The sequence below is a fragment of the Homo sapiens genome, chromosome 4 (genome assembly GCF_000001405.40).
Source record: "Homo sapiens chromosome 4, GRCh38.p14 Primary Assembly".
NCBI lineage: Eukaryota > Metazoa > Chordata > Mammalia > Primates > Hominidae > Homo > Homo sapiens.
The window spans coordinates 34,818,830-34,833,523 of record NC_000004.12 but is presented as its reverse complement, the minus strand read 5'-3'; positions in this window follow the sequence as shown (position 1 = coordinate 34,833,523).

Here is a 14,694-nt window from a genome sequence, read left to right as displayed (position 1 = left end):
ATTCCTCCAGCCCTCTTCTTGAATTATTTGGTAGGCTATATATTCACAAGACTCTGATGAATATACAAGCATAGATTCATGTGAGAATATATACATGTATCTGAGTGCATATGTTCATATATACATATGAATGTATGTATGGCTGTACACATTTTTTAATAGGATGTAACTATTTTACTTATTTTAGAGGCAAATAAATGAAAGGTTTTACTTTTAGTAGCATACCAGGGGTCACTCCGTTCATAAGTGGCAGAGCCATATTTTAAAGTTAAGTTAGTTGAAACTACAGCTCAAAATCTTTACATTTCACTTCCGGTTTAAAATCCAAGTTATTTCATCTTTTCTAATTGTATTAATAATTAAATATTCATAGGTATATTTATTTCATGTTTATAACTAAATGATGCATATGAGTCTAGATAAACAAATTTCTATTCAAATTTATTATAAAATTAGACATGATAAATATTACAATCAATATTCTAACAAACATTCAATGTACAATGATGTAGAAAGAGATATAATGATATGAAAAGAGAACTTTTATTTAAAAATTTATATACTCAAACATGGTGTTATGTAAATTAGAAATGTTAGCTCTTATATCTGTATTTAAAAACTATCTCTGAAATGATTATTCATTGTTATTACTCAGATTGCTTCTGAGTAATAGAGTGTTATCATAACAAAGAAATAAACAATATGTATTTTATTCTTCCAGGGCTGCTATGACATTTCTACTGCATGAAGTCCCTTGTGACTCTGGTCCCTTTTCTTGAGTCTGAGGGTGAAATTACACTGAAAGTTACCCTCTTGACAGTCAGGTTTTCTTGACATCAACCTGAAGCTGAAGATTACTGTGCAATAAATTTATTAGGAATTACTCTTGAGATCTATGCTTTAGTGGGAAGAGGAGGAAGCAACATTGCACAGAGGCTGTAGTGCTGTGATAACAAGGTCACCAGACTGTGGGGAGCTCTGGAGCTCTGATGTCCTTGCAGAGTTGCCCGGAGGTGGCCCCAAGGACTGGACCTTTCCACCACACTAATCTCTCATTTGATGCAAGCTGCTATGAAAATGTGATGGTCTAATTTCAAATTTCAGGCAGAAATAAGGAGAAAAGTATGAATGAGATAAATATGTGTACTAGACCTCCTTTAAGGCTTAAGCTGCAATACAATGCTTATCCTCATGTTTTATTAGCCTGAAGTTACTAACATTTTGACCCTTTTTTATTTTTTATTTTTATTTCCATAGATTTATGGGAAACAGATGGTGTTTGGTTACATGAGTAATTTCTTTAGTGGTGATTTGTGAGATTTTGTTGGACACATCACCTGAGCAGTATACACCATACCCAATTTATAGTGTTTTATCCCTCACCCGCCTCCCACCCTTTAAATTTCATATGAAACCTAAAAAGAACCTGCATAGCCAAGACAATCCTAAGCAAAAGAACAAAGCTGGAGGCTTTTCCCCAATTCCAGAAAGTTTCCAAAGTCCATTGTATCATTCTTATGCCTTTGCATCCTCATAGCTTAACTCTCACTTATGGTTTTAAAAGTGCATACACTGTATATGTATTAGGAATGGCAAGAGATGTAGAATGACAAGAGATGTAGAAACGTATGGTTGTTAATTATGCACATCTCTTTTCATTCAGTTTCCTTGGTTGCTAAATAAAGAAAAGGGGCCAATTATGGATAGCTTCTATTAATGGCAGGGAAGAATGCGGTAATGGGAGCATGGGGAGCAAGAAGACAGGTGCATCCCAAAGACTACCTCACCTTGCATTTCAGGCACCCATTAACCAAAAGGGCTAATAAGATTGGTCATCATATAATCTAACCAAACTGGGGAAAACAGTTTGAAGACTGGTAGGGTAATGGACAGAGAGAAGTAAGTCATGGAGAAATACTTCCTTTATTCTCTGGATACTTAAACCTATATGGAAGGGTGAACTAAACCTTACCCTTTCTTACTATTTCAAGATGAGCACATCATTTACGGATAGACGATAGATAGATAGATACATACATACATACATACATACATACATACATACATACTAGCATTAATATAGGATACACAACATGAGCTAGAGAAAATCAGGAGATCTGTTATGCCCTTACTATAGGATATAGAATAAAATAGAAAATAAGTGTAACTGTGTAGCTGTCAGCATCATATCAAGGCAATCACAAGCAGCTTGGTAAGAGGTCATTGAGGTGAATGAGAAAATGCTATCACTGAACGATCATCTTTCAGCAATTAAAATATATTATATTTTTCACTAAAAAAAGAACATAAACCTAAGAACATGGCATCTTTAGACAAGACCCTAGACAATAGAGCCACAACTGGCTGTTTACCCCAGACTGAGGAGGAAGAAGAAAATCAGTATATTATTTTAAATTAGTATTTTAATAGGAGGGGCACTCCATGTTCCCTCCCCTCTCATTCATAAAACTTTTAAAATGTGGGAAGAATAACTGTTCACTATGGGATACTGGCTAGGGTTCAAATACGAACATATTTTGCTTGGGGGCTACCACATTAATTTTATTGAAAACAACCATTTTCCCCCACTTCCGGAAAAAAATAAATAAAAGGAAACAAAACAAGAAATGAGTTCTAAAAACTTGATCTTAATTTAAGTATCTTTTGAAAAGCTTTAAGAATTCATTTAATTCACATTCTAATCCACCTCTAAATCCCACTTGATGTCAATGTATGCAAGGTACTATTAGTCAAGGGGCACCAATGATCTCTTCTAACAAAATTCTTCCCTTGATCAGTCATGGTGTCTTGCATCCCCTGGATTAATATAATTAAAGCTCTTTCTTTCAGACTTTTAATTCATTTCTTGGTGAGGTATTATAAATCTAGGAAGTCCAAAACATTGACTAATTAGTAGTAATTGGGTAACGATTTTTCCACACTACCATAAATTTTGAAGAAAATACATATATTTGAAATTAATTTCTTGGCAATTTTGAATGTTTGCTGAAACAAAATCTCTAAATAAAAGTGCTATTATTTTTTATTTGGGAAAGGTAATATTCAGAAACACACTAATTAATACTTTCCACGGATAATGCATTTTATGTGACACATGCCATCTTAATTTATTTTGCTCAGAACTACATTATGCAATGATAACTACATTTTAAAATAAAGAGTGTAATTGAATGTTTTGGAACTCAATGGATAAATGCTTGAGGGAATAGATACCCCAATGTTCATGATGTGCTTATTTCGCATTGCATGTCTGTCTGTATCGAAACATCTGAGGTACCCCAGAAAGAAGCATATTCAGCTGTCTGAATAAACTAATTGGTATACTTAGCACCAAGAACAATTTCTTGAGCATTTATGGGATTAAAATGCTATTATAATTACACTATTTAGAATTTCAGATTCAATTTCAATTCATCTGGATTAACAATTTTTTCTTTAGTGTACTATTTAAAGGATCATTTCACAATGTTATTTTTCTCTGATATTGAGTTTAATGTTATCAAAAATAATAGAGATACAAGTAGTACATTATTCTGTGATTATTTTTACTCATTAGTAAGAAAACTACTCACTAAATATTTTATTTTAAACATGAAAATTTTACTTTCTAGAATATGCAGTTAAAAACATGCTAGTAAATTATTGGCATTTACAGTTATACTATACGTTAAGAATATAAGTTTTAATTAGGTTTATGCCATAAAGAATGAATGAGAAAAAGGAAGCACAACATTTTATGCTGTTTATGATGTTTATTTACTTGCTAACTTGGGGATACTCATTTTTCTCTTTGTATAGCCCCATTTCCATAAACCCTACTATGACATAATACCTTCTCAAACTTATAAATGTAGACTGAATCTCTTTACTGTATTGTTGGAATATAAAATGTGGCCAGTTCATGATAATTTGGTTTATAATTAGCAAAATGGCTTTGTCTAATTTTTCACTGTTTCTTTTATTGTTTTTCACTTTCGGTCAACTATATGTTGGTAATCTAATCGTTATGCCTAGTTCAGAAACCTCTTCCAAGGCCTGTATCTGTATTTTCAGTTTCTCCCTTCCCAGAGACGTTCAGCACTCTATTGTTTGTCATCATAGAAAGTGCTCCAAGTTACAGCAATTTATATATTTTTTGATATCCACCCATCCACTAAATTATATTTTGTCTGCTTTATTAAAAAACAAAAATGAGTGCCTAGCTTATTATAAATGCTAGATAGACACTTTTAAAATGAATGAATGAATAAATTAATAATGGCAATACCTGGAACAAATAAAAATTTTATTTATTTTACTTATTTTTTTATTATTTGCATTTTATTCTGTTTCTGAGACAGGGTCTTGCTGTGTCACGCAGGCTGGAGTGCAGTGGTGTGATCATGGCTCACTATAGCCTCGAACTATCAGGCTCAAGCAATCCTCTCACCTCAGCCCCCAGAGTAGCTGGAACAACAGGTGCACACCACAACACCCAGCTAAGTTTTGTATTTTTTGTAGAGATGGGGTTTCGCAGTGTTGCCCAGGCTGATCTTGAAGTTCTAGGCTTAAGAAAACCACACACCTTCACCTCCCAAAGTGCTGGGATTACAGGTATGAAGCACAGCACCCAGCAGAAGAATTTTAATTTATACTTCTCCCTTCCAAACTCATGGTTTTCTTTACAATATTATTTTCATTTGCTTTTCTGAGTGATGGTATTGTTATCTGCAGTCAAATAAACCATCTCCTTTGTTCTTAAAACCTTGATGAATATTAAACAATCAACTTCAGCTTTTCTCCATACTTTACAACACTTTGTTGGTTCAATTATCCAACAAGTCATTGTAACATTCTTTTAATATCTTTTTAACAACTCATTTTTATTTACAGGGTCTTTTTAAATGTTCTCTAAGTTATCTTCTACCAAAAGGGATCTGATTAAAGATATTCACTGTTTCTTCACAAATCAATTGTTTGAATACTGTGATCTTAGCCCATGTCTCTCTACCATTCTGTTGTACATGTTATTCTCTCTAAAATCTGAAATGATTTTGTTTTTAACTTGGTCATGTAAAACATGAATTTCCATTTAAGATTCAGAATAAGTATCATTGCTTTGATCCTTTTCTGATACTCCAAAGAAGGAAATTTTTCATGTCTGGTTTTATATTTATTCATCATACTGGTGAATTTTCAATTATGGCACATTATTTTGATCAAGGATACGTGATTGATGATTGATTAGTGATTGGTAACTTGCTTGCTCTCCAACTCAATTGAGTGTGATATGGTTTGGCTGTGTCCCCACCCAAATCTCATCTTGAATTCCCACATGTTATGGGAGTGACCCGGTGGAAGGTAATTGAATCATGTTGGCACAAGTTTCCTGTGCTGTTCTCATGATAGCAAATAAGTCTCATGAGATCTAATGGTTTTAAAATGGGAGTTTCTCTGCACAAGCTCTCTTCTCTTGTCTGCTGCCATGTGAGATATGCCTTTCACCTTCTGCCATGATTGTAAAGCCTCCCCAGCCACGTGAAACTGTAAGTCAATTAAACCTCTTTCTTTTGTAAATTGCTCAGTTTCGTATATGTCTTTATCAGCAGCATGAAAATGGACTAATTGGTACCAGGAGAGTGGGGTACTGCTGAAAAGATACCCAAAAATGTGGAAGCAACTTTGGAACTGGGTAACAGGCAGCGGTTAGAACAGTTTGGAGGGCTCTGAAGACAGCAGGAAAAAGCAAGAAAGTTTGGAACTCCTAAGAGACTTGTTGAATGGCTTTGACCAAAATGCTGATAGTGATATGGAAAATGAAATTTAGGCTGAGGTGGTGTCAGATGGAGATGAGGGACTTTTTGGCGACTAGCGCAAATGTGACTCTTGTTATGTTTTAGCAAAGAGGCTGGCAGCCTATTGCCCATGCCCTAGAGATTTGTGGAACTTTGAACTTGAGAGATGATTTAGGGCATCTGGTGGAAGAAATTTCTAAGCAGCAAAGAATTCAAGAGGTGACTTGGGTGCTGTTAAAGGCATTTAGCTTTTTTTTTTTTTTTTTTTAGAGACAGAGTCTCGCTCTGTCACCCAGGCTGGAGTGCAGTGGCGCAATCTCGGCTCACTGCAAGCTCAGCCTCCCATGTTCACACCATTCTCCTGCCTCAGCCTCCTGAGCAGCTGGGACTACAGGTGCCTACCACCACGCCTGGGCACGGTGGCTCACGCCTGTAATCCCAGTACTTTGGGAGACCAAGACAGGCGGATCACAAGGTCAGGAGATCGAGACCATCCTGGCTAACACAGTGAAACCCCGTCTTTACCAAAAATTCAAAAAGGCATTTAGTTTTATAAGTGAAGCAGAGCATAAAAGTTTGGAAAATTTATGGCCTAACACTGCAATAAAAAAGAAAATCCCATTTTCTGAGAAGAAATTCAAGCTGGCTGCAGAAATTTGCATAAGTAATGAGAAGCCTAATGTTAATCACCAAGACAATGGGGAAAATGTCTCAAGGGCATGTCAGAGACCTTGGAGGCAGCCCCTCCCATCACAATTCCAGGGATCTAGGAGAAAAAAGTGGTTTCATATGCCAAGACTAGGGTTCCTGTTCTGTGTGCAGCCTAGCGACTTCGTGTCTTGTGTCCCAGGCACTCCAGCCATGGCTGAAAGGGGCCAAAGTCGTGCCGGGGCCGTAGCTTCAGAGGGTGCAAGCCTCAAGCCTTGGCAGCTTCCACATGATGTTGAGCCTGTAAGTGCACAGAAGTCAAGAATTGGGGTTTGGGTACCTCCACCTGGATTTCAGGAGATGTATGGAAATGTCTGGATGCCCAAGCAGAAATTTGCTGTAGGGCTGGGGTCCTCAAGGAGAACCTCTGCTAGGGCATACAGAAGGGAAATGTGGGATGGGAGCCCCCACACAGAGTCTCTACTGGGGCACTGCCTAGTGGAGCTGTGAGAAGAGGGCCACTGTCCTCCATACCCCAGAATGAGAGACCCACTGACAGCTTGCACCGTGCATCTAAGAAAAGCCACAGACACTCAACATTAGCCCATGAAAGCAGCCAGGAGGGAGGCTGTACCCACAAAGCCACAGGGGCAGAGCTGCCCAAGACCAAAGGAATCCACCTCTGGCATCAGCATGACCTGGATATGAGGCATGGGGTCAAAGGAGATCATTTTGTTGCTTTAAGATTTGACTGCCCTGCTGGATTTCAGACTTGCATGGGGCCTGCAGCCCCTTTGTTTTGGCCAATTTCTCCCATTTGTAATGGCTGTATTTACCCAATGCCTATACCCCCACTGTATCTAGGAAATAAGTAACTTGCTTTAGATTTTACAGGCCCATAGGCAGAAGGGGCTTGCCTTGTCTTGGATGAGACTTCGGGTTGTGGACTTTTGAGTTAATACTGAAATGAGTTAAGACTTTGGGGGACTGTTGGGAAGGTATGATTGGTTTTGAAATGTGAAGACATGAGATTTCAGAGGGGCCAGCAGTGGAATAATATGGTTTTGTTGTGTCTCCACCCAAATCTCATCTTGAATTCTCATGTGTTGTGGGAGGGACCTGGTGGGAGGTAACTGAATCATGGGAGCAGGTCTCTCCCATTCTGTTCTCATGATAGCAGATACGTCTCACTAGATCTGATGGTTTAAAAAAGGGGGTTTCTCTGCACAAGTTTTCTTCACTTTTCTGCCGCCATGTGAGATGTGCCTTTCACCTTCAGCCATTATTCTGAGGCCTCTCCAACCACTTGGGACTGTAAGTCAATTAAATCTTTTTATTTTATAAATTGCCCAGATTCAGGTATGTCTTTATCGGCAGCATGAAAATGGAATAATACAAAGTGTGTTTTAGGAGATTGTTATATTAATCACTAATCAATAGAAAACAGTATCTGAAGATCTGAATTAAGCTTCTGTCTGTAACATTAAGTTTCATGATATTGCGAGCCATTTTTTAAGCCATGGTTAATCTACAAAAACAAAAATATGACTGATAAAACTAATATATGCCCTTCCTAATTCCTAGGGGTTATAAATTATAAAGTTCTGTATAAAGACTATTATAGGAGGTACTCATAATGTTAAAATAAAGACAGAAAGACTAAATTCTACTAAAGCTAATAATCTTAGGACCGCAGATGTAATTTCAGGTGAGTGATTCAGCAGTTATTATCAAGGTCTATAGAAAAATTAGATCTGAGAAATTCAAAGTTCTAAAGTTATTTCCAGTGTTATTTCATTGTATACATTTAACAGTAGAATTGTGGACATATGAGTATAAAATGATGAAAGTGTTTATCTTAAACTGAGACTTCACACTTAAGTCTCTGATATAATTTTTGGATGGATTATTGGTCATGGAAGCAGAATACCAGAGTGAATCTGGATAAATGAAGATATTCCTCAATTAGAACCTAACTTTTCCTGCAGCTTAGCATGTTGTTACAACTGAACCTGAGCCAAAGGAATTCTAAGATTAGACGTAGAGATGACATCAAGGCCAGATAACTAAACATGGGAGCAAACTTACATACAGCCTTGAGGCTAATGGCTGTCTATGTAGAAGTGAATCCAAGGTTCAGAAAAATCCTCAAAAAGTTAGTACAAGTGAGTAACAATCTGAGAATGTATATAGAAAACATCAATTAGGGAATCATTAAAAGATTGAGGTAAAGAAGAAAATATAGAGAATGCTATGCAGAAAAGAGGCTTCCTTGAAATAAAACACAGATATTAGGCTGCAAGACATGAACTTACTGCTAATAAAATTAGCTTAACAAGCTCCTGAGAGAGGCTGTCAGAATTAGTCAATATTTGGAGAGTGGATGACAAAGCAGTGGAAGATACAAGACCAGAGTCAGTTTTGAGAACAGCTTTTAATAAACCAAAATCTTTAGCATAGGCAAACACAAAAGAAGGGAGCCATGACTATTATTATTGTTATTGTCTCATTAATAATTATTTTCCCATTTGCTTTCCATATCTCTAAAATTGCTGTTCTCCACTTGACTGATTAATTTTGCTCAGGTAACCATGGTTTTCTCCGGTTAAAATATAATTTGACACTGACATAATATGCTACAGCTTCTACTGAGACTTCTCTGGTCTCACTCCATTTTCTTTACCAACTGATAATTTTCCTGGCTCTAAAATATGCTTTGTCTGAAGTTAATAGAAGTACTTTATCTTACCCCTGATTAGTGTTAGCCAGGTATATCTTTCTCCATCTCTCTCTCTCTTTATTTTTTTAATGAGATGGGGTCTCACTATGTTACCCAGGATGGCCTTGAACTCCTGAAGTCAAGCAATCCTCCCACCTCAGCCTCCCAAGTGCTGGGATACAGGTGTGAGCCACTGTGCCCAGCAATCCATCTTCTTACTTTTAATCTATTTGAGTCTTTATATTTAGAGTGAGTTTATTGTAAATAGCATATAATTTAGCAAATAATTTTTAAAAATATTTTATTGAATATGTACATATTGAAAAATACACATTAACGAATTTGTATAAACTTAATATACCCATATAATTTATACCTAAATCAGGAAGTAAAATATTGTTAACACTTCAGAGGGGCCCTCAGACTTCCAGTCACTTCACCCTATTATGAAGAGTTAATATGCTTACTTCTAAAAGCATAATTTCTATCATCGTTTTAGATTTCATTAAAAATTGTATTTGAATTGTAAATGATATTTTGGCTCTTTTCTCTGTCAGGAGTAATTGTAATAGATTTTAAAATGATGATAAATAAAACAAACAAACAAAAAAAACTGAGTGTCCAGGGTACACCTTTCCAAATTTCCCTTCCTTTCACCCCAACCCTGTTGTGGAAGAAGCCAGTTTTATATATTTTATAGATTAATTTCAAAACTCATTATAGGCTTATAACATGTGGTGCTTTGACTTTTTTGAACTAGTAATATCTGACTGATTCCCTCATTAATTAATTAGTTGCATAGATTTTGGCATGTGTTAAATTTATATTTCATTTTGATTTTTCGTATTAACCTATAACACCTTAAGGCTGAATGTATGTGTCTTCCCGAAATTCATATGTTGGAACCCTAACCTCCAATGTGACTGCATTTGGAGATGGAGTCTTTGGAAGATAATTAGGGTTAAATGAGGTCTAGAAGGTGGGACCCTCAAGATGGGATTAATGTCTTTATTGAAAGTGTGATACCTAAGATGAATCTCTCTTTCCCATTTTCTGAAGATACATATTGAGGAAAGGCCAGGTAAACACACCTCAGAAAGGTGGTCTTCTGGAACCCAGGAAGCGAGTACTCACTAGAAGCTGAAACAGTAATCACCTGGAACTTAGACTTCCCAGCCTCCAGAACTCTGTAAAAATTAATTTATCTTGCTTAACCCAAACAGACCATAGTATTTTGTTATGGGAGTGCAAGCTGACTAGTACATATGGGTCTACTAATCAAATAAACTATCATTTCTCCTACATGTTTTTTAAGAAAATTAAAAACATATAATTTTCTGTTCAATGCAATTGAATCATTGTTCTGACAAAATTGTTTTTCAAAAATATTTTTTGAAATTTATCAGTTGGAAATAATTTCCAAGATCTTTAAGTAAGTTAAAAATCTTATGTTTGATATTGAGTTTAGTTACATAATGGTCATCATTGATACCTAAATAAATTTTAAGTGAAAGACAACACTGAAATATTGATTAATAAGCATAAATTATATTTAGTTGCATATGATTCTTACTTTTATACACTACAGAGAGGCTATACTTTTATATTTTTGGGTCTTCTTAATAAATACATTTGTTTTATCACTTTAAGAAGGTGTAAAAGGGATGTGCAGGGCTGTCTCATGTAGGTTTATGAACTTTGCTAATTTGCTAAAACGTTTGAATAAGAGAGAAAATTCTCAATTACCTTGTCCCACCAGTATCTCTGTGAAATAAAGTTCGTTATGTTGATTAAGCCTTATGAACTCTTGAGATATTGAGAATGAGCAGTAGTGTCAGAGAAACATAACTGTACATGAATTTTGTTTTTTTTAAATAAATGTAGCAAGGAAAAAGATTAGTCTTGTCCTAAGTGATTGGTTCTCAATAATTGTGGTATTCAGGCTCCTCTACACTCTTGCTTTTTATTATGGATATGGAAGAGTTTTTGTTTATGTGTATTTCAGCAATCAATGTTTACCAATTAGAAAAAAGAAAGAGGTTTAGAAATACTCATTGATTTATTTGAAGATAGTAAAGATGGATGACTTACATATTAACATAACAACTTTTGGTTTTGACCTCATATACCCCTGAGAGAAAACTACTATTTTTAAATAAAGTATCAATTTGTTTCAGAATATGAAAGAGCATAATGAAGGACACCATGAAGTTACTTGTATTATTTATAATACGACCTTTGAAAAGAAGCCATAGCATGTTTTAAAATCATACAAATGTTCACTCTACTTCCTTAGTCTTCTGATAAATGGCCTCATCTATAACTGAAAATCATTCTTCACTTTACATTTAACCTCTCTAGATAGTAGAGATTCTATATTTTACCAGAATAGTCTTACGTTTTTTATGTTGATTTTACTATGTCCTTGATAATTTAAGAAAAAGTATACAAAGAATAAAGTTTTCCTGTCAAAGAAAGAGCTGAGGTTTTTACTGTGATTATATTTTACATATTTGTTTTTAAATATTTCATTGTAGTTTTGATTAAATAGGTAACTGAGTGCTGTGTTCCAGGCACCTATGTCCTTAAGTGTTCAGTCTCTTCTCACAACTTTTTTGGAGGTTTTCATAGCCTTTTAAAAATCAGATTCAAAATTTATAAAAAGGAAGGAAAAAAAGAAAAAACAACTTTCAGGATATCTTTTCTTTATACCTAAAATTATCTTTAAATTTTCATAAGTGCCTTGGGAAATTACAAACATTAGGTTTTCACTTTTTAAAAAGAAATAACAGAAATAATTGCCTATGTTTGATGTGTTTTTATTACCAAAGTTTCATGGATACAGTTATTTAGTCACAATAGATAGTCTTCCTAGGTTAAATTTTGTAGATAAAATGTCACCAGTAGTAATATTTTAGAAATTGTATGTTTTATGGATTGTCCCTGGAGATCTACTAATGCCCTTAACTTTCTTCATCATTTATTTTTAACCTCAGGAAAAAATAATCAAGACTCTTATGAAATAGTTTTGTCAAATATTCCTATATTGATCAGGGAAACTGTAGTGTTTTATGTGATGATATTGGGAAATTTCAGAATAGTATTGTTAGTCAAAATTTCATTTATTGTTTAAAATTTTTACTTTGCCACAATAATTACATTTAATCTAACATCTTTAGGCTAATTTTTAATAGGAATGTGCATAAGACTTACACATGGAATTTCATACAAATACAGATGTCTATGCATATTATTTATTGTGTATATCAAATTATGTCAGATTAGTGGGTTAAACAATACCCATTTATTATCTCAGTTTTTGTAGGTCATAACATTGGGTATCAATTTTTTGGCTCTAGGAATTGCTCAATTGTTCAATGCTGCATGGCCCTGGATTTGTAAAATAAACTTTAAAAATTCTATATGCTAAGTCATACTCTTACCAAAATAAAAGAGATTAATCAACCTTGTTTTGCCTGTCCAGAAAAAAAAATGGGAATAAGTAAAATGGGAAAATAAAGAAGAAGATTATTGAATGTTCTTTCTATTGCAACCTCCCAGGTTATCTTAGTCTTCCACTGTTTTTAAGAGTTTTGCAATTTTGTAAATGATAAATAACTTCTAGCAATAAAATTGACCTTAATTCATAAATATTCAAATAATTTGTCTGCTGAGGAAAAACTTGATTTCTTCCAGAAATCCTTCCTTTCAAATTAAGAAGTTTTGTATCTGTTCAATATTTCCAAATGTTTAGTACTCTAAATCCTTCTTTTAACAAACTGCTAGCTCATTCATTAGTTGTGGAGTTAAATAAATCTTTGGCATATATTCATTTTATGTTTGCATGAGTCATAATTTTACCTTTTAAAAATATCATCACTTATTTTCTCTTTTTGCTCAACATTGTCTTGATAGGATTAATTCATATTATTCTATGTAGCTGTAAATCAAGAAAGTATCATTGCATTGTCAATATCTTTTCCCATTTTAACACAAGGTAATATAATTTGGGGCCATATATTCAATTGATAATTTTCATTATTTGTCAATTTTTAAAGTTTAATATAGAATATATAAGTAAACTGTTATATAATTATTAATATAAAAGTGTGAAAAATTGAAATTCACAAACTTTTCAAATTTACAGTAGACTATAATTTTTGAAATATATTTGAATTTATTTATATACAGTCTAAAAATGTTTAAAATTAGTAGGTTTCCAATTCACATTATTTTATTTAATATTTTTACTATCATACAAATGTAATCCACTTTTCCTGCACAATTTTAGAGCCTCTAATAATTTATTTCTCTACTGACTTAACATTTAATTTTTTACACAATAAGATTTCTACTTAAGAGAAAAACATAATATAGCAAACAAAACAAAATTATCAATTAAAAATTTATTTTAGATATGAGAGTACAAGTGCAAGTTTGTTACATAAGAATATTGCATGATGCTGACGTTTGGGTTATGAATCCTGTATTAGTCAGGGTTCTTCAGAGGAACAGAATTAATAGGATACATGTATACATGACAGGGAATTTATTAAGGAGAATTGACTCACACAATCACAAGGTGAAGTCACACGATAGGCTGTCTGCAAGATGAGGAGGAAGGAAGGCAGTAACGGCTCATTCCGAGTCCAAGAGCCTCAAAATTAAGGAAACTGACAGTGCAGCCTTCGGTCTGTGGCCAAAGGCCCAAGAGCCCCTGGCAAACCACTGGCATAAGTCCAAGTGTCCTAAAGCCAAATAACTTGGAGTTTGATGTTCAATGGCAGGATGCATTCAACATGGGAGAAATACGAAAACCAGGAGACTCAGCAAGCCAGCTTATTCCACTTTCTTCTGCCTGCTTTTTCTAGCCACACTGGCAGTGGATTGGGTGTGTCCCACCCACACCGATGGCAGGTCTTCCTCTTCCAGTCCACTGACTCAAATGTTAATCTCCTTGGGCAACACCCCTACAGAAACACCCAGAAACAATACTTGGCATCCTTCAATGCAATCAAGTTGACACAATATTAACCATGGCAGATCTCATCACCCAGGTAGTGAGAAAAGTGTCTGATAGGTAGTTTCTCAACCCACTTTCCTCTTTCTACATACCCTCTCTAGTGGTCTGCATGTCTGTTGTTCCCATGTTTATGTCCATGTGTGTTCAATGTTTAGCTCCCACTTATAAGTGAGAGTGGTATTTGGTATTCTGTTCCTGAATAAATTTGCTAAGGATTATGGCCCCCAACTGCATTCATGTTGCTGCAAAGGCCATGATTTCATTCATTTTTATGGCTGCACTGTATTCCATGGTGCATATGTACCACATTTTCTTTATCCATTTCAAGGTTGATGAGAATTTAGGTTGATTCCATGTCTTTGCTATTGTGAATAGTGCATTGATGAACATATGAGTACATGTATCCTTTTGGTAGAGTGATTTATTTTCCTTTAGGTGTATACCCAGCAATGGGATTGCTGGGTTGAATGGTAGCTCTGTTTTAATGCCTAAAGTTATATGATAAACTC